The sequence below is a fragment of the Homo sapiens genome, chromosome 3 (assembly GCF_000001405.40).
Source record: "Homo sapiens chromosome 3, GRCh38.p14 Primary Assembly".
Classification (NCBI taxonomy): Eukaryota; Metazoa; Chordata; class Mammalia; order Primates; family Hominidae; genus Homo; species Homo sapiens.
In genome coordinates this window covers 107,445,743-107,472,695 of record NC_000003.12, presented here as the reverse complement: position 1 = coordinate 107,472,695, position 26,953 = coordinate 107,445,743, and the positions used below count along the sequence as shown (strand labels likewise).

The 26,953-nt window shown below is 39.9% G+C and overlaps 1 long non-coding RNA gene across 1 annotated transcript in view, besides 2 other annotated features; it reads right to left on the bottom strand.

Moving 5' to 3' along the window:
• Positions 1,284-2,022: an enhancer, noted in NCBI's record as "H3K27ac-H3K4me1 hESC enhancer chr3:107189521-107190259 (GRCh37/hg19 assembly coordinates)". NCBI's record gives its function as "activates a minimal SCP1, AML or CMV promoter by ChIP-STARR-seq in naive H9 embryonic stem cells {active_cell/tissue: H9 hESC(naive)}" and the evidence as "EXISTENCE:reporter gene assay evidence [ECO:0000049][PMID:30033119]".
• Positions 2,023-2,761: an enhancer, noted in NCBI's record as "H3K27ac-H3K4me1 hESC enhancer chr3:107188782-107189520 (GRCh37/hg19 assembly coordinates)". NCBI's record gives its function as "activates a minimal SCP1, AML or CMV promoter by ChIP-STARR-seq in naive H9 embryonic stem cells {active_cell/tissue: H9 hESC(naive)}" and the evidence as "EXISTENCE:reporter gene assay evidence [ECO:0000049][PMID:30033119]".
• LINC01990 (long intergenic non-protein coding RNA 1990) overlaps positions 8,784-26,953 on the bottom strand; it is a 32,983-nt gene continuing 14,813 nt past the window's right edge. The window contains exons 2-3 of the long non-coding RNA NR_110039.1: positions 11,906-12,023; positions 8,784-10,123 (exon numbers count right to left, since the gene is read on the bottom strand). This is a non-coding gene — a long non-coding RNA (long intergenic non-protein coding RNA 1990). The remainder of the gene's footprint in view (positions 10,124-11,905; positions 12,024-26,953) is intronic.

The following is a 26,953-nucleotide window of genomic DNA, read 5'->3' as shown; positions in this document are numbered from 1 at the left end:
TTTTTGCTTTTCATTTGCTTGGTAGATCTTTCTCCATCCCTTTATTTTGAGCCTATGTGTGTCTTTGCATATGAGATGGGTCTTCTGAATATAGCACACCAATGGGTCTTGACTCTTTATCCAATTTGCCAGTCTGTGTCTTTTTAATTGGGGCATTTAGCCCATTTACATTTAAAGTTAATATTGTTATGTGTGAAATTGATCCAGTCATTATGATGCTAGCTGGTTATTTTCCCTGTTAGTTGATACAGTTCCTTCATAGTGTCAATGGTCTTTACAAATTGATATGTTTTTGCAGTGGCTGGTACCGGTTGTTCCTTTCCATGTTTAGTGCTTCCCTCAGGAGCTCTTGTAAGGCAGGCCTAGTGGTGACAAAATCTCTCAGCATTTGCTTGTCTGTAAAGGATTTTATTTCTCTTTTGCTAATGAAGCTTAGTTTGGCTGGATATGAAATTCTGGGTTGAAATTCTTTTATTTAAGACTGTTGAATATTGGCCCCCACTCTCTTCTGGCTTGTAGGGTTTCTGCAGAGAGATCTGCTGTTAGTCTGATGGGCTTCCCTTTGTGGGTAACCCCACCTTTCTCTCTGGCTGCCCTTAACATTTTTTCCTTCACTTCAACCTTAGTGAATCTGACAATTATGTGTCTTGGGGTTGCTCTTCTCGAGGAGTATCTTTGTGGTGTTCTCTGTATTTCCTGAATTTGAATGTTGGCCTGTCTTGCTAGGTTGGGGAATTTCTCCTGGATAATATCCTGCAGAGTGTTTTCCAACTTGGTTCCATTCTCCCCATCACTTTCAGGTACACCAATCAAATGTAGGTTTGGTCTTTTCACATAGTACCACATTTCTGGGAGGCTTTGTTTGTTCCTTTTCATTTTTCTTTTCTAATCTTCTCTTCATGCTTTATTTCATTATGTTGATCTTCAGTCTCTGATATCCTTTCTTCTGCTTGATCGATTCAGTTATTGATACTTGTGTATGCTTCACGAAGTTCTTGTGCTGTGTTTTTCAGCTCCATCAGGTCATTTATGCTCTTCTCTACACTGGTTATTCTAGTTAGCAATTCCTCTAACCTTTTTTCAAGGTTCTTAGCTTCCTTGCATTGCATTAGAATATGCTCCTTTAGCTCAGAGGAGTTTGTTCTTACCCACCTTCTGAAGCCTACTTCTGTCAATTTGTCAAACTCATTCTCTGTCCAGTTTTGTTCCCTTGCTGATGAGGAGTTGTGATCCTTTGGAGAAGAGGCTTTCTGGTTTTTGGAATGTTAAACCTTTTTGTGCTGGTTTTTCCTCATCTTCTTGGATTTATCTACTTTTGTTCTTTGATGTTTGTGACCTTTGAGTGCAGTTTCTGGGTGGACATCCTTTTTGTTGATGCTGATGCTATTCTTTTCAGTTTGTTAGTTTTCCTTCTAACAGTCAGGCCCCTCTGCTGCAGGTCTACTGGAGTTTGCTGGAGGTCCACTCCAGACCCTGTTTGCCTGGGTATCACCAGCAAAGGCTGCAGAACAGCAAAGATTGCTGCCTGTCCCTTCCTCTGGAAGCTCCATCCCAGAGGGGCACCTGCCAGATGCCAGCCAGAGCGCTTCTGTATGAAGTGTCTGTTGACTCTTGCTGAGAGGTGTCTCGCAGTCTGGAGACATGGGGGTCAGGGACCCACTTGAGGAGGCAGTCTGTCCCTTAGCAGAGCTTGAAGGCTGTGCTAGGAGACCCGCTGCCTTCTTCAGAGCTGGCAGGCAGGAACGTTTAAGTCTGCTGAAGCTGCGCCTACAGCTGCACCTTTCCCCAGGTGCTCTGTCCCAGGGAGATGGGAGTTTTATCTATAAGCCCCTGACTGGGGCTGCTGCCTTTCTTTCAGAGATGCCTTTCCCAGAGAGGAGGAATCTAGAGAGGCAGTCCGGCTACAACGGCTTTGCCGAGCTGCAGTGGGCTCCACCCAGTTCGAGCTTCCTGGTGGCTTTGTTTACACTGTGAGGGGAAAACCGCCTACTCAAGCCTCAGTAATGGTGGACGCCCTGCCCCCCCACCAAGCTGGAGTGTCCCAGGTCGACTTCAGACTGCTGTGCTGGCAGCAAGAATTTCAAGCCAGTGGATCTTAGCTTGCTGGGCTCCGTGGGAGTGGGATCCACTGAGCTAGACCAGTTGGCTCACTGGCTTCAGCCCCCTTTCCAGAGGAGTGAACAGTTCTGTCTCACTGGTGTTCCAGGTGCCACTGGGATATGAAAAAAAAAACTCTTGCAGCTAGCTCGGTGTCTGCCCAAACAGCTGCCCAGTTTTGTGCTTGAAACCCAGGGCATTGGTGGTGTAGGCTCCCGAGGGAATCTCCTGGTCTGCGAGTTGCAAAGACCGTGGGAAAAGCATAGTATCTGGGCCGGAATGCACCATTCCTCATGGTGCAGTCCCTCACGGCTTCCCTTGGCTAGGGGAGGGAGTTCCTTGACCCCTTGTGCTTCCTGGGTGAGGCAACGCCCCACCCTTCTTCTGCTCACCCTCTGTGGGCTGCACTCGCTGTCTAACCAGTCCCAGTGAGATGAGCCTGGTTCCTCAGTTGGAAATGCAGAAATCACCTGCCTTCTGTGTTGATCTTGCTGGGAGCTGCAGACCGGAACTGTTCCTATTTGGCCATCTTGCCAGCCCTCCTCCTTAAAACAAAAATTAGAAAAGGAAATTCTATATCCCAATTAGTGAGTATCCTGAAATGATTGTTCCAAGTTATATTTATGGAAAAACATTATTAATTCGGAATTAATAATGGGGGAATACCAAACTGAAGCTGTCTCATTTTATCCTTTTCCTTGGTCAGTTTGTTTGGATGCATCCCAAATGTATACCTCTGGCTCTGGCTCTCTGGATACACCTTACCTGCCAGACTTCTCCAGATTAATAGTCCGCCTTGCATTCAACAGATCCAAACCCCAACCACAAATTCTCTTCTTCCTGCTATAATATATTACCTCAGTTTAAGACAACATCAATCCAGTGAGTCATGGGCTTCATTTCTGAGACCCTCCTCTTCTTCTCCATCTTCCTTTCTGGTGTGCAGTCCCGGGAGCATCTCTCAGAGTGTCTTCCACCTATTTCCTTTCTCTGTTCTCACTGTTAATGCCCTTGTACCATCACTGATTATGTCTCACCTTGGCTCTAATGATAGTCTCCTGTCCCTTCCTCCAAGCCATCTGAAACATTGTGCCAAAATTTCTAGAGTAATTTTGCTAAAATAAAAATTTAATCATGTCACTCCAGTAATCAAACATATTTAGTCTCCTTGACTACAGGATAGAGACCCTACGGGATAGAGTTTAAAGTTGCTCGACAGGACATGTAAAGAGGCCTCTTTCTGATTACTGTTTGTCTTTTGGCCATATTTCCCTCTATTCCTCCTCGTTTGTGAACCCTAAACTCTGTTTATGCAGGGATATTTGCTTTTAGTGATGACTATGCACCCTTCTCCATCTCTTTGCTTTTAGTCTTGTAGTTACTACAGCCGAGTTTGTCATTCCTCCATCACTACCTCCATCTTTGTGTGGCCCTACTAAAAATACCACTTCTGCCAGCAGCCTTCTTTCATAATCAAATCTGGAATCATATTTCCCCCTTGCATGGGAGATACAATGAGCATCCTGCCCTTTCCCCCAGGCACATCATCTCCAGGAACATAGTTAGGTTTCCAGCTGTGAGCAGTTGCCTGAGGACATTCCTCTTGCACCTGGTACCAGGGCAGCTCACAAGTGCCAGAAGTTTTCATTCCTCAGGAGTAGCCTTTAACCAATGGAGGAAGCAAACTGGAAGATAAATACCTGAGTGTCCTTGCCCCTCAGGCTAACGAAGGCATCTTCTGTTCTGTCCCCAGAGCTCCCCAGCAACATTGAGCCCCAGTTGCTCACAGCAGGAATCTGTTCCATAATATACCTTTTGCTATCGGCTAGTCTAACTTCCTGACTCCCCTTTTGGTGCTGTCTGTGATCACCTCCCAAATAAACAACTTGTGCATGCATTCTTGTCTCATGGTTGGCTTCTGGTGGAAGCTAATGTAATACACAGTCCCTGTGCTCTCATAGCAGGCTACTTAGACTTTCCCCTTCCTAACTTCATTTAGCGTGGGCAATACTCGTTTGAGAAAAGTCGTTGAGATCAGAAACAGCATCTTTCTCAGCATGTTCCTTTCAATACCTAGCACAATCTCTTACTCGAAGTAGGCGTTCAACAACTAAAGGTTAAGTGTAAGTGCTTCAATGAAGAGGAAAATCTGCATTATGGCACTTAAAATAAAAAGATAAAAAAAATTAAGTATTTACAATAATTCTCTATAGAGCAATGACCACATCATACTTTAGAAGCTCCGCTCTAATGAACAGAACAAATTATCTGTAGCCTTCATATTCCATACTTTTTGTTGTTGTTGTTGTTGTTGTTGAGATAAGATCTCACTCTGTTGTCCAGGCTGGAGTGCAGCAACGCAGTCATAGCTCTTGCAACCTTGATCTCCTGGGCTCAAGCGATCCTCCCTCCTCAGCCTCCTTAGTAGCTGGGACTACAGGTGTGCACCATCAGGCCTAGCTAATTTTTAAATTTTTAGTAGAGGCAAAGTCTCATTAGGTTGCCCAGGCTGGTCTCCAACTCCTGGCCTCAAGCAGTCCTCCTGCTTCAGCCTCCCAAAGTGTTGGGATTACAGGCATGAGCCACCACACCCAGCCTCATTCCATAGTTTTTGAGTTACCTGGTATTGAGAGTCACATTTCCATGTACCTGACCCGTTTCACCCACTGGCCTCTAAGCTCACTAAAGACAGACCTTTGATCTATGTTTTTTTATAATACTAGCCCCTCACCTGATGTGTTGCACCCAGTATATACTCAATTCCAAAAATATGTTTTATTAATTTTTTAAATTTTATTTTATTGAGACAGTGTCTTGCTCTGTTGCCCAGGCTGGCATGCAGTGGCATGATCTCAGCTCAGTGCAGCCTCAATCTTCCGGGTTCAAATGATCTTCCTACCTCAGCCTCCCAAGTAACTGGGACAACAGGCACACACCACCATGCCTGGCTATTTTTTTTTTTTTTTTTAAATAGAGACGAGTTCTCACTCTGTTGCCCTCACTGGTGTCAAACTCCTGAGCTCATCACGCAATCCTTCTGCCTTGGCTTCCCAGAGTGCTGTTGTTACAAGTGTGAGCCACTATGCCCAGCCCAAATTATTATTTAATGAAACCAAGAATTTTAAAGCACATGAGGGTGTTTTAAAATTGTTTCTTTTTAAAGAGGTGGTTTATTTTGTTGCCCGGGCTGGAGTGCAGTGGTGCGATTTTGGCTCACTGCAATCTCTACCTGCTGTTCAAGTGATTCTCCTGCCTCAGCCTCTTGAGTAGCTGGGATTACAGGCGTGCACCACCACGCTAGGCTAATTTTTCTATTTTTAGTAGAGACGAGGTTTCACCATACTGGCCAGGCTCATCTCAAACTCCTGACCTCAAGTGATCCGCCTGCCTCAGCCTCCCAAAGTGCTGGGATTACAGGCGTGAACCACGGCATCTGGCCTATACCTGTCATTTTTGTGCCCACTATAGAAAGATAAACCAGCGGAGTTCTATTATATTACTTATACAAATTTTAAGTTGAGAGCATCCAAATTAATGAGGTTTTACTGTACTTATGAAATTAATTTGACAATTATTGAAATCAAGATCTTGTAGAGAGAGTGTGTGATTCACATTAACAGTCTCTGAATATCCTAATTGTGTAGTCTTCATTCTTTTTGGCCATCATCTCTACTGCAGCATTTATTCACATTTAGCTCTGTGTTTTCACCCCAAAGAGGCCCAGATCTTGTAACTTTTCTGCAACCAGAAAATCTAATTCATTGTTAACAGACACAGTTGTGTGTCTGCTAGGCTGCTGTAGACATAACCCTTTAAAAGTTAGCTTAGTTAAAGGAAACAAAATAACACAAAACAATAGAGGTGTGTGTGTGGAAATCAGTGTTGTATGGCCTGGACCTATTCTTACCGCTCTTATAAAGCAACTCTTTCTGTGTGTGGTGTTTCAGCTTTACTTTAATAATTAGCAAGTCTTGGTAGATCAGAATTTCACTTGGGCCTTGTCCCTTAGAAAATAGTGTTAGAGGTTCCTCTGCCAGTGGCATTGGCAGCCAAGAAGGAACAAATTAAGGGATCAGTCTGTACTCACATGTAGAGACCTTTACTTCTTGGGATGATCCAAATATCTGCGTAATTTTACAATGGAGATAAAAGTTGATGAAATACTTTTGAATAGATTGTGCATATAGATATGGCCAGAGAGCTTGTGGATGTAGTTGTTCAGATGCAGTTACTCTGCTAAAAGGAATACAGATACAACTCAAAGGTACATAAAGAAAAAAATTCTGCAGGAAACTATACTTAGGATTACATCTCTGGCATTTATGTTTCTTTATAGTATTAGCACTTTACCTGATGTCTCACACACAATGTATGCTTGATTCCAAAAATATTTTTTATTTTTATTTTATTTTTTTGAGACAGTGTCTTGCTATCTTGCCCAGGCTGGCATGTAGTGGCATGATCTCGGCTTACTGCAGCTTCAATTTCCTGGGTTCAAGTGATCCTCCTACCTCAGCCTCCAAAGTAGCTGGGACAATAGGCACACACCACCATGCCTGGCTGATTTTTTTTTTTAATTTAATAGAGATGAGTTGTCACTCTGTTGCCCAGGCTGGTCTTGAACTTCTGAATTCACTCAATTCTCCTGCCTTGGACTCCCAAAGTGCTAGCGTTACAAGTGTGAGCCACTTTTAATGGCTCACCCTGCAAAATTTAAAAATTATTATTATAATTTTTTGAGAGAGAGTCTCACTCTGTCACCCAGGCTGGAGTGCAGTGGCATGATCTCAGCTCACTGCAGCCTCCACCTTCTGGGATTAAGCAATTCTCCTGCCTCAGCCTCCCAAATAGCTGGAATTACAGGCATGCACCACCATGCCTGACTAATTTTTGTATTTTTAGTAGAGATGGGGTTTCACTGTGTTAGCCGGGCTGGTCTGGAACTCCTGACCTCAAGTAATCCTCCCACCTCTGCCTCCCAAAGTGCTGGGATTACAGATGTGAGCCACCACACCGGCCCAAAATTATTATTAAAGAACAATAAAACACATGGTTAGGGAGTAGCAGTTTATTTTAATTATGTTCCCTTTTGAAAAACATCTGACAAATATTGCAACTAGTAATAAGGTGCCCAGACAGAAGGGATTTCCCAGAAAGGAGAGGTCTGTAATCCAGGTCTTACATTGTTAACCTCAGGACTGGCTACAAACTTATTGCCTGATACAAAATGAAAATGCAGAACTCCTTGTTCAAAATGTATTAAGAATTTTTTTAGCACAGTAGAGCATTAAACCAAGTAGGGATGTGGGGCAGGTCGGGGAGAGGTGCTTGGGGACTGTGTTACTGGTGTTACTGTATAAGTCCTACACTTGTGAAACCAGTCCTGGTTACCCACCAGTTACTGAGATCCTTCTCCGCAAGATTTTGTTCTTAGTGTTTCTTGATTAAATGATGTATCCCTGGACACACATGAGAAATCCAGATTATGACTGAGTCTATAGAGGTGCTATGTAAACATGATTCTGTGATTTTTTTTTCTTATTATTCTGTGATTTCTTAATATACTAGAACCCTTATCTATCCCCCAGTGGAAGACATCAAAGATTTTTTGGGTAGGGCTGGCTCTTAATAGAACTCAATAATAGGGCCAGGTGTGGTGGTTCATGCCTATAACCCCAGTACTCTGGGAGGCCAAGGTAGGCAAATCACTTGAACCCAGGAGTGCAAGACCAGCCTGGGCAACATGGGGAAACCCCGTCTCTACCAAAAATATAAAAAAATTAGTCGGGCTTTGTGGTTTGCATCTGTGGTCCCAGCTACTTGGGAGGCTGAGGTGGGAGGATCGCTTGAGCCCAGGAGGTTGAGGTTGCAATGAGCCGAGATTGTGCCATTGCACTCCAGCCTGGGTGACAGAGCAAGACCCTGACTCAAAAAAAGAAAAAAAAAAAGGAACTTCAATAATTCATCCTAGAAGTATATGCTTGCATTCCTTCCCACTTGATTGTCAGTTGTTAAAAGCCAAGACCCCAGTCTTGGGATTCTGAGATTTCATGCAGTCATCTACCCCCATATAGTTTGGAATGAGGGAGAAATGGCAAAGGCACTTACATGATTATTTCACTATGGCCTTTCTCACAAATTCCTCCCTGATCTCTGTCCCTTGCTGAAACTGAATCTGTGTACTCCTTTTCTTTCTGGGCCACCTTCCAGGCAGGTGGAAGCCATCTCCTCTAGGCCTTTTCTCCTCCTTCCCAAACCACCCCTCCAGGCAATAGAGGGATGAGGATCGATCTTCCTGAACCAGAGAACTTGGTCTTTACTCCTGTTTCCCCACACTCTACTCCTCCTTATCTTGGAGGCCCAGCTGTATCCTTTAGTTTATCTTTGACTTGTATGACTTTGTTCTCCCTAGGGATAGAGTCAGGGGATAGAAACACTTCAGTTCTGTCTTGAAATTAGAATAAAGATGCAGAGGGCATGAGACCCACCTCTGCCGTAGATTCAGTTTTGATTGCTTAATCAGGTGAGTTTTATGTGTCTACTAAATCACAAATAATTAGAGAACAGCATGTGTTAATAATCCTGAAAAATCCCAGGAACAGTTCTATAGCAGTGCCTCCAAATGTGATTAGAATTCTTTGCTCACAGACAGTATATTTCTTCCAAGTCTAAGAAAACACATGTGCTGTGTGAATTAATTTTATTGTACTTTTTCTAATTAGTCTTCAAAAGGCTTGGCTGTTTTGCTTATTGGTGAGCTCCTGTGACAAACCAGGGCATTCGATTGAATTGTAAACCAACTTATGACATTGAGCAAAGCAAACTTCCAAACAGATTGTGATTCTTCTTATCAAAGCAGTTATGAAAAAAAAGTTGTAGAAAAGGCATTTTTCGGGCAATTTAAAAATTAATGTCTGGTAAATGAGAATAATTCTATCTATCCTCTTATTTATTTCAGAAGAAAAATTTCAGAGTTTTTAAGGTATTTTTTAAAATGGGAAACTTAATAAGGAAATGGCATTACTTCTACTACTACTATTATTATTGTAAATATATTTAGGTATTATTTAATACTTAAGTAATTTTAAGTAATTTATTTAAGTATTATTAGTTTTTAGAATTCGTGACCTCTTATGGCCAAACTGGTTTTTAATAAGCTAGAATTTAGTAATAGGTTTTTTCCATTGAATTAGGTTTTAATAGAACCTAAGTTATTACTTAATGGATAATTTCTACTTGGAAATTGGTAAGACATATTGAGTATACATTAGATATGCTGAAGGGGCTATTTGTCAAAATTACCTGTTTTATAGGTATACTGAACACAATTTTCAATCTGTTATTAGTAGAACAATAATACTGGTCTACTTCATAGGATTTGTGGATTGTACTAAACATATTTAAATTCAAATATGTTTTTTGGCTTCATTGAACTATAATTAACATACGATAAACTGTGCATGTTTAAAGCATACGATGTGATGCATTTTGACACCCTTGCAAGCATCTCCATCAAGGTAGTGAATATATCCACCACCCTCAAAAGTTTCCTTCTGCCTGTTTATCATCCCTTCCTTCCTACCTCTTTTCAGGGTGCCCTTCCCTCCACTCCCTAGGCAATCACTGATCTGCTTGTTTTTCATCACTATTGGGTAGTTAACATTTTCTAGTCTTTTTTTTTTTTTTTTTTTGGTCTGGCCTCTTTCACTCACCATAATTATTTTGAGATTTCTTCCTGTTGTTGGGTGTTGTTTTCCATAGTTTGGTTCATTTTTATTGCTGAGTCAAATTCTGTTGAATACACCATTTTCTGTTTATTCACCATCAAATGTTTTGTATGTATTTATTCTTTTCTTCTCTAAGCTAAACTTCATGTTCACTTCAATTCTGCCTCCCGAAGACTTCATGGTATCACAGGAGTTTTGTTGTCAGCCCATCACATCTGGATCCAAATCACAGCCATATCTCTTGTGAGTGTGTGAACACGGCCTTTGCAGGTTTCTTCTCTGGGCTGCAGTGTCCTTATCTGAAAAATGAGCATAGTAATATGTACCTCTTAGGACTGTTGTAAGGGTGAAATATGTAAAGCATATAGAACAAAACTTGGCACACAGTAAGTGCTATCTGGTTGGTAGTTATTATTATTACCGTCATTAATTGCATATGATATGTTTGGTAGAACTTCCAGCCCATAATAAACTCTCAACAAATGTTAGCTATTATTATTATTCATACTAATATCACTATAGCACATAACAACTCTTCATTTCTTTCCTTCCTTCCTTGTCCCTCTTATGTTTTCAGTCTCTTCACTATTTTTGTTACTAATAGTACCCGTGTTACCTGACCAGGCAAAATAAAGGAGGGCAGTGATTTCCAAAGTATGATCCCAGAACCAGCAACATTAGCACTGATTTGGGAACTCATTAGAAATGCAAATTCTCAGGCCCCACCCCAGACCTACTGAATCAGAAACTCTGGGGGATGGGGCCATGGTCTGTGTTTTAACAAGCCTGCCAGGTGATTCTGATATAGCTAAAGTTTGAAAACTAGTGCAGTCGGGTAATCGCCAGGCTGGTGCAGGAGTTAATGCAGGCTCAGTTCACGTCAACTTTCTTGTTAGGAAAAGCACACTGTTGACTAATTGAGCTTAATATCAACTAAAACCCCTAAGTCCTTTTCACACATGTTGCTGCTAATCCCCATATTCTCCATCTAGCACTTGTACAGGATTCTTTTTGGACTGAAGTATAAGTCTTTACATTTATCCCTATTAAACTTAATCTTGTTAGATTCGGCCCATCGCTTCAGTCATGTTTGGGGAAATTTTAGTTCAGCTGGAATGAACCATGACAAAAAAGCAGGGCCCAGAGACCAAGGAGGAATGTTACAAGGACAACATCCTTTTATATATTGGCCGAATACTGGCCAATGAGATACTGACTATGGTGGGCTTCTAATTAAACACTTGAGACCCTGGGGGGATGTGGTAATTTGATTTCAGTTTAATTCAACTAACATTTATTGGGCACCTACCAAGTTCCTGGCTGTGAACAAGGTACCAGAGGGGGTGCTAAATAGCTCACTCTTTAATGTCAGATATTAATGTCTACTATCTGACATTAGTAGTAGAGACAAGTAGAGATGAAGGGGTTTTTGGTTTTGGTTTTGTAGCAGGCACATTGTAGCCCAATATACCAATACTCACAAGTTCCTTAAGGAAGATAACTAATATTCTTTGAGCACCAGATCCTCCACCATATGCTTTGTTGACACTTCCATATTTAATTTTCAAAGCAATCATAGGAATGATTGCCCCATATAAATTTGAGGAAACATAGATACAGAGGTTAATGCATTTCTTCAAGGTCACACAGGTAGTTAGCAATAGAGCCAGAGGATGCTCCAAATCTGTATGGATTTAAAGAACATACTGCATATAAGCTTTCTCCTTGTGATCAAGAAAATTAAGCTCTTTAAATATCAAAACCCCTAGTAGCTTAAAGTCCAACCATAAACTATTGATTTATAATAGTTAGGTTTAAAATCCTAAAAACATTAAAATAGCGATACATTACCTAGTCCTATATACACAGAATAGTGCATTTAGCTGTGCTCACAGTCCTAATTTAAAACAACAACAACAACAACAACAACAAAACTTATGTTTGGGCCAGGCGCCGTGGCTCATGCCTGTAATCCTAGCACTCTGGGAGGCCGAGGCAGGTGGATCACTTGAGGTCAGGAGTTCGAGACCAGCCTTGCCAACATGGTGAAACCCTGTCTCTACTAAAAATACAAAAATTACCTGGTCGTGGTGATGCATGTCTGTTATCCCAGCTACTCAGGAGGCTGAGGCAGGAGAATCACTTGAACCAGGAAGGCGGAGGTTGCAGTGAGCCAAGATCGCGCCATTGCACTCCAGCCTAGGGGACAGAGCAAGACTCCATCTCAAAAAAAAACTTATGTTTGGTTTTGTTTTTATTTGCCTCTTTTAAAGTGTTAGCCACATATTTTAATCCATCTATATCACAATATTATTATATAAATATACAATATTAATACAATATTATTAATATTATAACTCCAAGTTGTTACCTGTAGCAACCAAATCTTTGGAAAATATATAATTTTATCCTCTAGGGGGCAAAACTAATCAATTCTATTCTAGCAGGTAATAGCTGTTATATTTTACTGATACATAATGTGCATTTTAGTAAAGTATCTTGTAGTGTAATGGAAAGACACTGGACTTGGAGTCTAAAGATAAAAATTTGCTTCCACTTACTAGCTATCTCACCCTGGGCAAAAAAATTTAACTTATATAAACCTCAGTTTTTAGATCTCTAAAATGGGATGATAATGTTCATGGGGTTGTGAAAATTAACTGAAATAGTATTTATGAAGTTTCTCTGTGGTCTGGTAATGTTTTACAAATATAAGGTTTTTTTAAACTTATCTATTTTACAAGCTACCAAAATGTGAAATATTTTGGACACTTCTGCCACCTACACATCTACCTAATTCATAGAGTAGAATTTGAAATTTTTGAACTTCTCTGAAAATGCATCCATTCTTTCATAGTTTCTTTTTAGCAGTAGAGTTTCCTGTAGAATTACATACAAGCAGTGGAATAGAACTGATATTGAAATTCTAGATTCTGTTTGTTAACTTGCATTTCAAAGATAAATTCTGTTTAACCAGCATTAATATTGTCAACACTACTGGCATCATCATTATAAAAAGATTCCCACTAGGTGCCAGCATGCCTGAAGCCATGTGCTATGGTTGTATAAAGTGAGTTAAGCTGGTAAGAAGCCTAGTTCTTTAGGACTTTATAATATGGGCAGACTTTACATGAATAGGGGAAAAAATAAAGATATGCATTTGAATCCCTGGATTTAAACCCCTGCTGTATCCCTTATTAGGTGTATGACCCTAGGCAAATGACAGTCTTTTAAACTTCAATTTATTCATCTTTATAATTGGGATAACAGTACCTACCTGATAGAGATGTTGTGAGAATTAAATGCTATGTTATGGATAGAGTGCTTAGTACAATAGCAGTATTTAATGCCCAGTTAATATCAGATATTATCTGAGCTAAGAACTCTATACTGCAATATCAAACTCCTAAACTTTTCATCTTTCTTTTCTGGTCCTCATACCATGCAAAAATGGGGTTACTCTGATAATAATGAATAAATGTGAAGCCTGGAAATTACTGTCAATCACCTGCACTGCTACATTAACCCCCTGGAATCACAGAGTCTTAGAGTAGGAACCCCAGACTTCGAAAGTCATTTAGACCAATGACCTTGTTTTGCAAATGGGGAAACTGAGATCCACTCAGGTTAAGTGTCCTATCCAAGGCTATAGAGCTAGTTTGTGATGAAGCTGGACTAAAATCTGGGCTCTACACTCAAAGTATGTCACTCTCCCTCCTCCATACTGTCTCCCTAGACAGCTTGGTCATTTTAATCCCTTCTTATATTTGCCTTGCCAATAGGACCATGCTGTTCTGGCCTGCTGCCAATTTAGGCTGTCCAGTTCCAGCCAAGTCTTCATGGTTAATCTTGTTATTCATCTCCTCTTTTTTTCCTAGCATGTAAGTTTCACAATGTATTTAGCAGGGGGAAAAACCCAAAACCTGCCTTTGTTTTCCAAATAAAACCTTATTTGTGTCAAAAAAAAAAAAGTGAAATCAATAAAAGCTTCCTTGTTTGGATAGGGATGGGTTGTGAGTCCACAGGCCCATAGGCTCAGCTCAGACCCTTCATTCCCATTCCCTCTAAAGTGGTCCCTGAGGGAGTTCTACTGAACTCTCAGGTTTCTCTTAGCAACACAGTTTAAAAGTTACTATCTCACATGTACACTTAACAATGGTTATTCCTGGGGACTCTCAACTTGTCAGGAGCATCTCAGGCCACTTCCATATGTGTAATCCTGTTTAGCATTTCTGTATTTTTTAATACGCTAAACAGGATTACACAAATTATGACATATTTTAAATGTTCCCACTCAATAGATTAACATTTTAAATTCAGATAAAAAATTGATGACAGCAGGTGTGGCCTCCTTTTGATATAACACCAGAAGTTGAAAATTGAGATACTTCCACTTCCATCCCCAACTTGGCATTGGCCCTTACTTTTCTTAACTTGGCCTGTTCCTCAATTCTCAAGATCCAACTCAACCATCATTTAATGGGTGTCCACTATGTGTTAAGTTCCCCAGTAGGTACTTGGGCCACAAAGATGAAAAAGATATAATCTTTGCTCTTCAAGCAAGTAGCAGATTAATAAGGGTGACAGCTCCAAAGTGGTCCCTATGGAACTGTGTCCTTTCATGCCTTTGAGCAGTTCCTGGCCCCGACTTGTGTTAATAGCAGTGGAGGTGACACAGTGCCAGTTCAGGGCCCCCTTTAAGAGGACTGACAGCTTCTGATTCCTTCCTTTTGGAACGCTCTTACACCCTGAGCAGCTGTATAAGAAGTTGGGCTGCTTTGGTGGAGGGACCACATGAAAAAACATGTGGAGAGACCTCATGAAGAGAAAGAAGCCCAGCTTTCCCAACACCAACATCCCAGCTTGAGCCCAATCCTCCAACTATCTCAGCCAAGGTCCTAGACGTATGAGTGAACTGTCTTACATGCTCCATCTTTATGGAGCCCTAAAGTTGACTGTAGCTCCAGCTGATGTCACGTGGAGCAGAACAACCACATAGCAGATCCCAGTCAACCCATGGAATGTTGAGACAATAATAACTTAGTTATTACTTAAGTCATTATGTTTTGGAATGATTTGTTACATAGCAATAGATAACTGAAACAGATGGGTAAAAAAATGATGATGCCATGTGGTAAGTTCTACCGTTAAGGTATGTACAAACTGAAGTGTTAGCATTGACAAAGCACTGACTAGACATTATTGAAATTGGGACTAGGAGTATACCAGGATTCATGGAGGAACTGGCATAATGAGCTGAATCCTGAGGAATGAGTAAAATGTCATCAAGTAAAGAAAGTAGCATGTATAAAAAAGCTTAGGAGAACATAGTAGCAATACATATTTAGTATGTAGTTCAGTGTCAGTTGGGAGATAAAGCATCACAAAGGTATACTAGAGCCAACTATAAAGGCCTTTTCTTGTCAGGCTAATATTAACCTGCAGGCAGTGGAAAGCCAATGATAGCTCTTAGGCACTGCTATGAAATGAGCAGTTATCATATCTGTTATCTTAGGCTTCCTTCTCCTTAGCCATTTCACACTATGGATCACTTCCTCTTTCCCCTTTCTCTTCTTCTGTGACTTTATCCAGGTTTTCCTCCTGCTGATCTATAGATGTTTCTTTTTTGGCTTCATTGGTTCCACTTACTTTTCTACTGGAATTTCTCAAATTTCTGTCTTTGGTTCTCTACTCATCTTTCCCAGTATTCTCTTTTGGCTGCACCTGAGACTCCTTGGCAGAAGATTTGAAATCTCTGTCTCTAGACTGGCCTTGCTTTCTAAACGCCATGTTATCTCAGACAAGTAAAACCTAATTCAGTCCTCTTTCCCTCCCCACTTTCCCCCTATTTTTTCTTTTTTTAAAAAACTTAATCCCAAATGTAATAGTATCCACTTTCCCCCTAGAAAATCCAGTCCCTTCTCTTCATTTTCCCATTTCTGTCATTTCTTTCTATCACCCAGGCTTACAACTTCAGAATCACGTCTTTAATTCCCAACTTTCTCACATACTTAACTATCACTCAAGTTCAATTGTTCCTCCTTTACACTGCCTCTCACATTTTTTGTTTTATTACTTTCTTTATAGTTTCCTTAAAATTTATGTTGATCTTGCCAATCTCCTGCTGTATTATTTTTTCAAGGCCATTGACTCTGTAGCTGAAAAACTGGTCCTTCCACAATCTGGTCCATAAGTGTCTTATTTTTCAACACTCTTCTTCTTGAACTCATCCATACATAGTATAGCTTGTAAAGGGCCTTGATGTTAAGTTGATTTTAGGACCCTGATGCTATGTTGTATGTTTTGTGTGTAACACTATTTTTTTATCTTGCCAAATAGGGAAGTAAGTTTAGCTAAATAAGTGCAAAGTTTTCTTGATAGGCAAGAGTGGAGAACAAGAGGAAACATGTTTCTTTTTTGTTAGGGGATTAGAGAAAGCTAACCAAGGAATAGAAGATAGATGCCTTGGTGCTGAGGATCAAATGTTTTTCATGGGTTGGCTAGAATCATTCAGGAGGCTTACTAAAAGCACAGATAGCCAGGCCCTACTGCATAGAAGTAGCCTGTACTTGGGTACATGTTGGAATCACCTGCATAGCAGTAGCCAAAACTTGGCTACATGTTGGAATCACCTGTGGCTGGTGGAAGGTGGGGAGGGGGCGGGAGATGCTTTAGAAAAATACTGATGCCTAGCTCCCATCACCAGTAAGTCTGATTTAATTGGTTTTGACTGTAACCTGGGCAACAGAATTTTTTAAAGCTCCCCAGGTGATTTATAATGTACAGCCAAAGTTGAGCACATGACCCTAGAGATTCTGTTTCACTATGTCTGGGACGGGGACAATGAATAAATGTCCCCATGTGATTCTGAGAGCCACTTTGCCACAGGAAGAAGCATTTGTTTCCCTGGGTATTTCTGAAAAAGGATTCAATAAATGCCTAAGACAGGCATAGAATGGAGTTGTTCTTATAGATGGGGTAACAGGCTGACTTATGAATGGAAGCTAGTGAATATGTCCAGTTCATCCTCACACCCTCCTCTCACAATGAGATTACCCATCACTCTTCAGTTCTCTCCTCCCAGAAACCAAATTGACTTGGTTTTATCACTTTTTCCGCTTCAGCCAAGCTGCCTGTTTGTTGTCCTCTATGAATTTTCACTTTCATTGTATCTTTCTTTTCCTACTACTTAGCTACTTATGTCAAAACCTTACCCACCCTTAATGCTCAGCATAAATCCCACCATGTTAGTGAAAACTTCAGACACATACTGAAGTACTGGGTGTTAGAACTTCAACATATTAATTTGGGTGGAGGAACACAATTCAGCCTATGTTCATATCTTATATGTCAGGTGAGAATATAAATTTTAGCACACTGAAAACAAAGAAATACCTAGTTAGGGCTACACATGTGTTTATTATCATGCCAGTAATTTTGCTTTGAATGATAATTTCATACATATGACTCAGGAGGCAAGAAAGGATAAGTAATTATGAACTTAATTTTAATTAGTTTTATTGATACTACTTATAACAGTTTTCGATTCATAATTGCCCATATGAGAGTTCGAGCAATAGATATGGCTGAAGCTAAAATAGAGGAACATAAACGGCTTTAGGATATAGTTGAAAAAGGGTGAGATTTGGAGGGTGACTTTGGGTATATCACGACTTTTCTGAGCCTTTGCCCCATCATCTGTAAAAGGGAATGTTAGCTGTGTAATCAGTGAAGGTGGAATGAGCAAATTAATATGAAAATTATTTGCAAAATTTAAAACACTATTCAAATATTTTTATTATTATTGTGATGGGTGAGAAATTTGAAGAGAAGCCTCCAGAACTGTATCATTCCCCACAAAATAAGAGGTTCAGAGAAACTGAGACTAGAATGCTGCAATAAAATCTAGCTGTCTTCTGTTGCTTGACTTTACCTAAAATCTCCTCAATGGTGTAAATATTTTTTCTGAATATATTACATAGAAGAACCTTTATCATTGAAAATCCATATGATCGCTAGCAATGAGTTTCAATGTTAATGAAGTGCTGACTATTTGCATAGTATATAGGACCAGTCCTATTTTTTATTACTTACAATATGGATAGCATTTAGAGGTTGTTCTCAAGGCATTAACAGCTTTTGGGTAAAAAGTCAGATTTCAAAACTAGAATGAGATAACCAGGTCTTTTCCTGACACACTGATATTGAAAGGGCTCCTATGTATATATATGTGTGTGTGTGTATATATATATATATATAGAGAGAGAGAGAGAGAGAAAGAGAGAGACAAAGTCTCACTCTGTCATCCAGGTTGGAGAACAGTGGAGTGATTTCGGCTCACTGCAACCTCAGTCTCCCAGGTTCAAGTGATTCTCTGGCCTCAGCCTCCCAAGTAGCTGGGATTACAGGCAAAAGCCACCATGCCCGGCTAATTTTGTGTATTTTTTTGTTGAGACAGGGCTTCATCATGTTGGCCAGGCTGGTCTTGAACTCCTGACCTCAAGAGATCTGCCCACTCTGGCCTCCCAAAGTGCTGGGATTACAGGTGTGAGCCACGCGCCCAGCCAATATTTTTGGAATAATGATTTTTAAAAGTTGCACACGGTTTTAAGCCACTCGCCACTTAGCCTCCCCTGACAAATTAAGGTGGCAAATCAGTCTTGGGCCCTGGGCCAGTCCTGTTGGCAGCCAGCTGAGATGATGGAGTTGGGGGCCAGAAGTCAGGATCAGGAAGCCTCTTAATACCTGCAGGATGCCTCCTCTCTCTCTCCTTGCTTCCCCATGCTGCTGATTTGAGGATACTATTTTGCTGTTTGCACTTGGGTCAAAATTGCTACTTATGGCTTTGGAAGACATATAAAAGGATCAATAGCTATGAAATTAATGTTTAATGTCACCCTGCTCACAGCTCCTTGATTTTCTGATATGTGTCTAAATTACTGTTGTAGGCAATAAATGTAGTATGAAGTTTGAATCCCCATTGTGCCTATGGCATATTAAATAAATAGCTTATATATTTGCAGTCCTTTCTTCTGATCCTACTTACCAGTCAACAACTCACTATCTTGTTCAGCATTCTTTCTTGTTCATACTTATATACAGAGTATCTACCATAACCCCTGATACTTAGTGAGTAGCTATTTCAATGGAAAGGATAGTAAGTAGGGTTGCTAAGGCCCATATGGTTCAAGTGAATCATATTAAAACAAAACAAGACCCATTGGAAATTATTGCTAAGTTTGCTGCTGCAGTTCTTACAGTCATCACACTTGTCAATAACCCCAGAGCCATGGAGAATAGATAAGTAGCTAAGCAGCTCCTGAAAGGTGGGAAGGTAACGTCACGTCTCTTGTTTTTGGTGTTGCATAATTTATTTATTGTTGTAAAGGTTGGAAGGGCAAATGTAAGGAAATAGAAATTAAATGCAGGAGACTAGGCCAGACCACAGCCCCTCCATGTCCCAGGCTAGCTAGCTGGAAGATGAGGCACAGTGACACAAAGGTTGAGAGGATGACTTCTTTAACTAATGTCAAGGATCATGAAATTGCAACTAGCCTAGAAAGTAGCTGGGATCTTCTGCAGAATTAAGGACCAGTGTTGTTGTCATTGCTTTTTCAGGAGAGTATGGAAATGAAGCATCCTTGTGACAGAAGGTGGGGTTGTTAGAGTGGTGATGGCAGCCAGATAAGCAATCCTCATGACCTTTATGGAGCAGAGAAAACAGCTGGACAGCTGATATTTTCATCAGCTATGTCTTTGCCCAGCTGCACAGATGGGCACTTAAATTATATAATAAATCACTGGCTTTCCAATGCACCCATCAAACCCTGTCAGTCATATAGCTTAAAACATTTAGAATCACAAGATCCTTGAAGATGTTTGTCACAATTGAGACAATTTGGTTCTTAATATAATATTCTACCTATTGTGGTGGAAAAAGGAATTTATTAGATAAGGAGAGGTAATACTTGTGTTCAAGTCCATGTTATACCTCCACTTCTTTCTCTCTGCTGAAGATCCCATTTGGCTTCTTAGGGAATAAGCTTCCTCATATATGAATGATAATTGTTACTATCTAGCCTCAGTGTCTCTTCTAGGTTAAAAGTGAAATTGAGTTTTATAAAATAAAAAAGTAGTAGTATTTTTATTTCTTATGATTATAAAGGATTTAACTTCATCAGTATTCAAGTGGTCTTGTATCATTCACGATGACTCAATAGCAACGTGTCTACAAATTATTCAAGCTCTTTCCATGACTCATGCCATGTATTATAACAAAGTAAGTTTCCTCTCTCTCCTGAAAAAAAAAGGCCTATTTTTTATATGAAAAGGGGTAGACATTTGGAAACTTTTAAAAAGAGATTTGCTAATAATATAAATGGTTGTTAACATTTTTAAAGTGAATTAAAAGCTTGTCACCAAGATACAACTAAGATTCTAGAAGCTATAGACTTCCATTTGGTGGAAAACGAGCATCAATATTATAAAGATTTTATAATGACTCCTTCAGAAATGCTGCCATGGAGGTGCATGTACCCAGGTGGAGGGAGGCTGGTCTATGGTCTATGGAAGTGCTGCTATAACAAAATACCACAGGCTGGGTAACTTATAAAAAACAGAAATGTATTTCTCACAGTGCTAAAGGCTAAGTCGAAGATCAAGGAGCCAGCAGGTTTGGTTGTCTGGCAAGGGTTGCTCTCTACTTCCAAGATGGCGCCATACTGTTGCATCTTCCAGAGGGGAAGAACCTTCACATGGTGGGAGGCAGAAGGACAAGCAAGCTGAAGGCTTGTATTTCATTTATTTTTTATTTTTTTAGTTTTTATGAGACAGAGTCTCACTCTGTGGTCCAGGCTGCAGCGCAGTGGCACAATCTTGGCTCACTGCAACCTCTGCCTCCCAGGTTCAAGCGATTTGCATGCCTTAGCCTCCCGAGTAGCTGGGACTCCAGGCATGCACCACCATGCCCGGCTAATTATTACATTTTTAGTAGAGATGGGGTTTCACCGTGTTGGCTAGGCTGGTCTGGAACTCCTGACCTCAAGTGATCCGCCTGCCTCAGCCTCCCAAAGTGCTGGGATTACAGGTGCGAGCCACTGTGCCTGACATGAAAACCACTTTTACAAGGGTCTTAGTCCCATTCACAAGAGAGGAGCCCTCATGACCTACTCACCTCTTAAAGGCCCTGCCTCCCAATGTGACATCTGAATTTTGTGGGAATTCATTCAAATCATAGCAGGAGCCTACTGTCATTCAGAACGATCTGAAAGGTCAGCATTGTTCCTGAAATAAGTCAATAAGCATACTATAAATGTAATAGCATGCTGAATAACTAAGACCCATATTCTTGAGTAACCTGGGATGACTGAGCCGTTTCCAGCCTATACTCTCCTTGCTCTTCCCACTTCTCACAAGAAGTGATGGTAACTACTGCTCTATAAGGTCAGAGGTCCAACTTTATCTGAGATATTTATTAGTGTCTTCTTCTACCCAGCTGGTTCTGGGGAGTCTTTGGACTGGGAGTGGAGGGGAACCCAGGACATGGAAACTCCTCAAAATTCATACCTGATGGGTTCTGTGGGTAGCACACTGGCCTTAGATATTCAGCAAGAAAAAAAAAAAACAGAGTTTTTCAACTAACTATATTAAACTCTGTGGCCCTCCACTCCTTAGGAAAAAAAAAAAAACTTACATCATTATTTTTTTTCTGACATATCATTTTTATATTTGGAAAATTTTGAAGATAAAAAAATTATATGTTGCCTAGATATTTTATCATTCAGAGATAACTTTTAATGTTTTGGGAAATTAAACATATATGCACTTATAAGTCATTCATATGTATAAAACTTTGAAGGAATACACATTTGAATGATTTGCCCTTGAAATTTGTATATAAATCTGAGCAGATATGTTTTATGTATTTATTTGTGAAACATATTCAAGCCACTAAGTGCCTTATTAGCAGGAAGTCCTAACTATCACTCTTGAGCTTTCTCTACCTACCTGGCCAATTCATCTCTCCTCTCTTCTGGCCAATTTCCCAAGAATACCAGGGATATACTTACTTGCTGCAGAGGATGGGTTGATAGGCAGGGCCATTCCTGCTCCCAGGGCTGGGCATAAAGAGATCAGTAATGACTAATCAACTCAGGATTGCTATTGATCCTGGCTGGTACCTAGTGTCACTGTTGAAGACTGTGCCCAAAGGCCAACAGATGCTTGTCTATTCTGTGTCATGCCCTTGTTGGTCTGAATGCCTCTCAGCACACCACTGGGGCTCTGAACTCGGGCTTTGAAATTATAGCTCTTAGTTTGCATGCAGATATTCTGTCGTTATTCACTACAGCAAAACCTTCTGTGTATCACTATGTCATCATGGCTAGCCTTAGTCACACACCATTGAGACTTTTCACAGTGCAGCCTGGGAAGTGTGTGACTATGGCTAGCCTTAGTCACACACTACTGAGACTCTTCACAGTGCAGCCTAGACTTGCCCATTCTTCAAGGTTATTTCAGGGACCTCCTTGACAGTTTTAGCCACTGAGCCTGGGGCAGGACCACTCTGTCCACCCTCCCAAGTCTACTTAACTCTGAGTCTCAAGAAGCAGAGTCAATAAGTGGGTCCCTTTGCCACATAGGCCTGGATTCCTTTGGCAAATGAATCCATGGCCTTATAAGAACAAGTTCTCTTTGTAAAATAGTGAGGTAGGTTGTGTTAAAACACTTTTAAGAAGCCAGTATTATGTCTCCTTTTAAAACTGTGTGTCTTAGTTATTTATAGAACTAGGAATTTCCTTTCAAATAATTCATCTCTGAACTGGATTTTTTTTGCAAGTAATTTGTAGTCTATACATCTAGACATAAGAATAAGTGATATAATTCTTAAGTAGTTTTCTACCCCCACCAAGGGGCATCCCATTGATGCTCAACCAATCATAATAGATATCCTGAATATATAAATATCATCCCAGTAGATGGCACAGTATTTGCCACATTGTGGAAGCTAATGACATGCTTGATTTCTCTTATTTTAATATCCAGATAGGGATGTTAAAGTCCTAGGGAACAAATAGGATATATCACAAAATATATCTCTGTCATCAAACATATCAATATATCATCAAAATATACCACCAAAATATATTTCTATTTTTTAATCTCAGCAGCCTCCTCCTAGCCCAAATCACATCATTTTTCACCTGGACAACAGGAATGGAATCCTCATTGGTCCTCTGCTGCCAGTCTTGCCAAATTCTAATAGATTTCCTTGCCATAGCAAGAGAAAAAACAAAAAATCAGATCATGTCACTCCCAAATTTAAAACCCATCAAAGGCTCTTCCTGGGTTTTAATTTATCATAAATGAAAAGCCCTTTGCCACCTCTGGGCCTTTGCTCTTATTCCCTAGTCTTGATGTGCTTTTCTCCAATTCTTCACACAGAGGCTCATTCTCAGCTGTTGGATAACTTCTCTCGCATGGTTGTCTCAGAGGCATCTTCCCTGACTTCACTTCTAAGGCTGCTACCTGCAGTTTCTCTCTTATTTCCTTTATGGAATTGTCATTTTAGTGGAGTTTCAAGGAAGAGTAAAGGTAAATATTGTCCAGTCTGCAATATTTACCTGGCTATTGTGATCATACTTATTTTGTGGAACAAAAGTTGTTACCATGTTCTGTACAGTTGTAAAACCTGCTTTTTATAATATTAAATCATAAACATTTTTAGATTAGTAAATATACATCTATAACATGATTTTTTATTATATTGATATGTCATAATTTAGGTAACAGAACTCTACTGTTAGAAATTTCAGCTGCTGTTTTGTGAAAGAGTTGGAGAAGACCAAGGTAATTCTTAAAGCCTTAAAAAAATGGAGATGGACTTTTGAAACTAAGATTATAGTCTGAAAGGAGAAATATGGATCAGTGACAGGGTAAACAGAAATTATTCTCAAAATCACAGAAAACTAGAATTGGGGTTGCTCTTAAAGCTCAAAAGAACTAAATTTTGAACAAGTAATGGAAATACCATATTAACCTTATTGAGCCAATTACAGTGTGGTTTCTCATGTAACAAACATGGTGGATTAGGATAGAAGAATAGATTTGATGGTTAAAGCAATGGGTGGAGTTTTTGAAATGTTAAATTTGAGATATTTATAGAACACCTAGAGGGGAGCTCTCTAGTAAGTAGTTGGTACGGGGCTTAGGAGGAAGTTCTAGATTGGGGAGACATCAGCATATGTTGAATGGTAATTGACACCAATAGAACTGGATGCAAAAATTCAGGGAGAGTATGTAGAATAGCAGACCTATCAACAAAATGGTGAAGAACACAAACATTTGCAGGATGGACAGAGGGAGATGAACATTTAAAGGAGGAGAACAAGAGGCCAGAGAACTAGGAGTAAAGCCGAGAGAACGTGTGTTGTGGGATTCTCCAGCAATGATTAGCCTAACTGTGCTTGACTGGCCATATGATTGCTTTTCCTCCTCTTGATTCTTCGTTTGTATCTCCCCAAACTGTGCTCACACAGAGAATAACTTTTCCAGACAGAGCATCCTCTTCTTCAATAGAAAATATACATATTATTGTATTCCCCAGATAGAATATCCAATAAGTGCATTAAGCTCATTGAATGATTGCTAGGGTGTGATTTGAAGCATTCAGGGAAGGCTACTTTTTTGTCCTGAAATAGTTCTCTGGCTGACCTACAGCGATGTCTGACATAGTGGGCACTTAGTTCACCTTAGCGAGTAAATGGTTCCATGAATATTGAATGTCTAAGTATCTTATTAAAATGCAAATATCCTGAGAGGGATGACAAATAAGCTGCCAACCCCTATTAACAATTTGATAGGCTGGGGACTTGTTTATTGAAACTCTTTTCATTGTGGTCAGTCTCTGTGCAATAGGCTTATAGGGCTAATTACTGTGGAAAGTAGACCTAGAGTGGAGGCTTACCTAGGAAGGCTGTATCTAGCACATTAGTTCAGTTTTAAGATATCCATACACACCATCTATATTTGTCTCCTAGGCTGCCATAACAAATGACCACAAACTATGTGGCTTAGAATAACAGAAATTTATTGTCTCACAGTTCTGGAGGCCAGAAGTCTGAAATCAAGGTGTCAGCAGGGCCATGGTCTCATCAAAGGCTCTAGGGAAGAATCCTTCCTTCCTTCCTCCTACCTTCTGGTTATTAGGAACCCTTGGGGTTCCTCGCCCTGTAGATGCAGTTCTCCAATTTCTACTCTTCACATGGCATTCCACCTTCTGTGTCTGTGTGTCCCTGTATCTCTCTTTTTTCTTCTTACAAGGACACTAGTCATTGGATTGGGGCACACCCTAATTTAGTATGACATCATTTTAATTTAACTAATTACATGCAAATATCCTATTTCCAAATAAGATTGCATTCTGAGGTTCTGGTTGGACATGAATTTCTGGGGAACACTGTTCAACCCAGCATACCATTTATTGTGGCTAGATGATGGTTAGATACTCAGCTAACCTCTAGGAAAAATCTGGCTGTGGGGACCAGGAATCATCATATGATATGAGACATTGACGTTGACAGGTATGTGTGTATGTCCACCAGGTAGCATAAAGGCCCTTTTCACTTACTGAATGTGAGAGGTAACCTACGAGCACCACACAGTAGGAAAAAAAGAGCGACAAAAACATTAATTTACTCTAAAAAAATACACTGTGAGTGCATATTATGGGCCAGGCTTTGGGTGAAGGACTGAAAGAAGTGGTAAATGAAAGAGATATTACTCATGTCCCCAGTGAACATACAATCTAGCAGAAAAAGATATGCAATAAAGAGGTATAGAATAAATATCCACTTGAAATTTTAAAACTGAGCAAGTGTTATGAGATTTACAGAGTGGTCTGTGAATGAGAACAACTGAGAGGAACCTACTGAGATATGGTGGTCAGGTAGAAATATTGACTCTGTAACTTGAAGGATGAGTCAGGATCAGGTGTTTCACTTCCTTCATCTGTCTGTCGGGGCTGCTGCTGAACAGAGACCTCAAAATTCAGCAATTAGAAGAGGGTCTTCATATCCTATCCCCCATCTTAACTGTTTAGTTATACTCTAGATAGAAACTCTGACATTTTTCTCCTCACTTTTGCCCACCCTTTCCCCAACCCCCACAGACACAAATGCATATTTCCTACTTTTTCCTGAATCATTTGAGGGTTACAGATATTTAACTCTTTAGCCCTACAGTTTCAGCATGCCTAAGAAAAAAGATATTTTTCCTACTTTTTCCTGAATCATTTGAGGGTTACAGATATTTAACTCTTTAGCCCTACAGTTTCAGCATGCCTAAGAAAAAAGATATTTTTCTACATAACTATAGTACAATTATTATACTTGGACAATTTAACATTAATACATTATTATTATCTAACTACAATCCATAATTTAAATTCTCTGAATTGTCTCAATAGTATACTTTATAGATATATTTTTTCTGATCCAGAATCCAATCAAGAATCAAGCATTATATTTAGTTGACCTGCCTTCTTAGTCTCTCTTAATCTACAACAGTTTCCCAAACATTTTTGTCTTTTATGACATTGACATTTTGAAAGAATCCAAGTCATTGCTTTGTAGAATGTCTAGTAGAGACTCAAACATATACTGGATGTGTAGTATAGTTTTTGATATTTTGTCAAAATGCTTACTTGTAGATTTGCAATTAACTGAAATTGCTAACAACCTATAAGGATGCAGTTCAAATCATCCCAAATCAGTTCCATGGGGGTGTGAATGATATTTTGTCAAAGGGGGACTTGGAATTGCATTATGAAAAAGTAAAAACAAGTTTCTTTGCTGCAGGACTTCTCAAGAGCCTTTATATACTAACAGATATTATAAATCTTTAAGAGGATTATAGAATACAGGGTTTCCCAAACTTTGTTTGAGGACCATATCAGCTATGTATTGCTGAAAAATTACCCACAATTTATGGGCTTCAAACAACAAACATCACCTCATACAGTTTCTGGGAATCAGGAATCTAGAAGTCGCTTAACTGGGTGGTTCTGGTTCAGAGTCTCTCTTAGATTGTAATCAAGATGTTATGTGGGGCTTCAGTCATCTGAAAGCTTG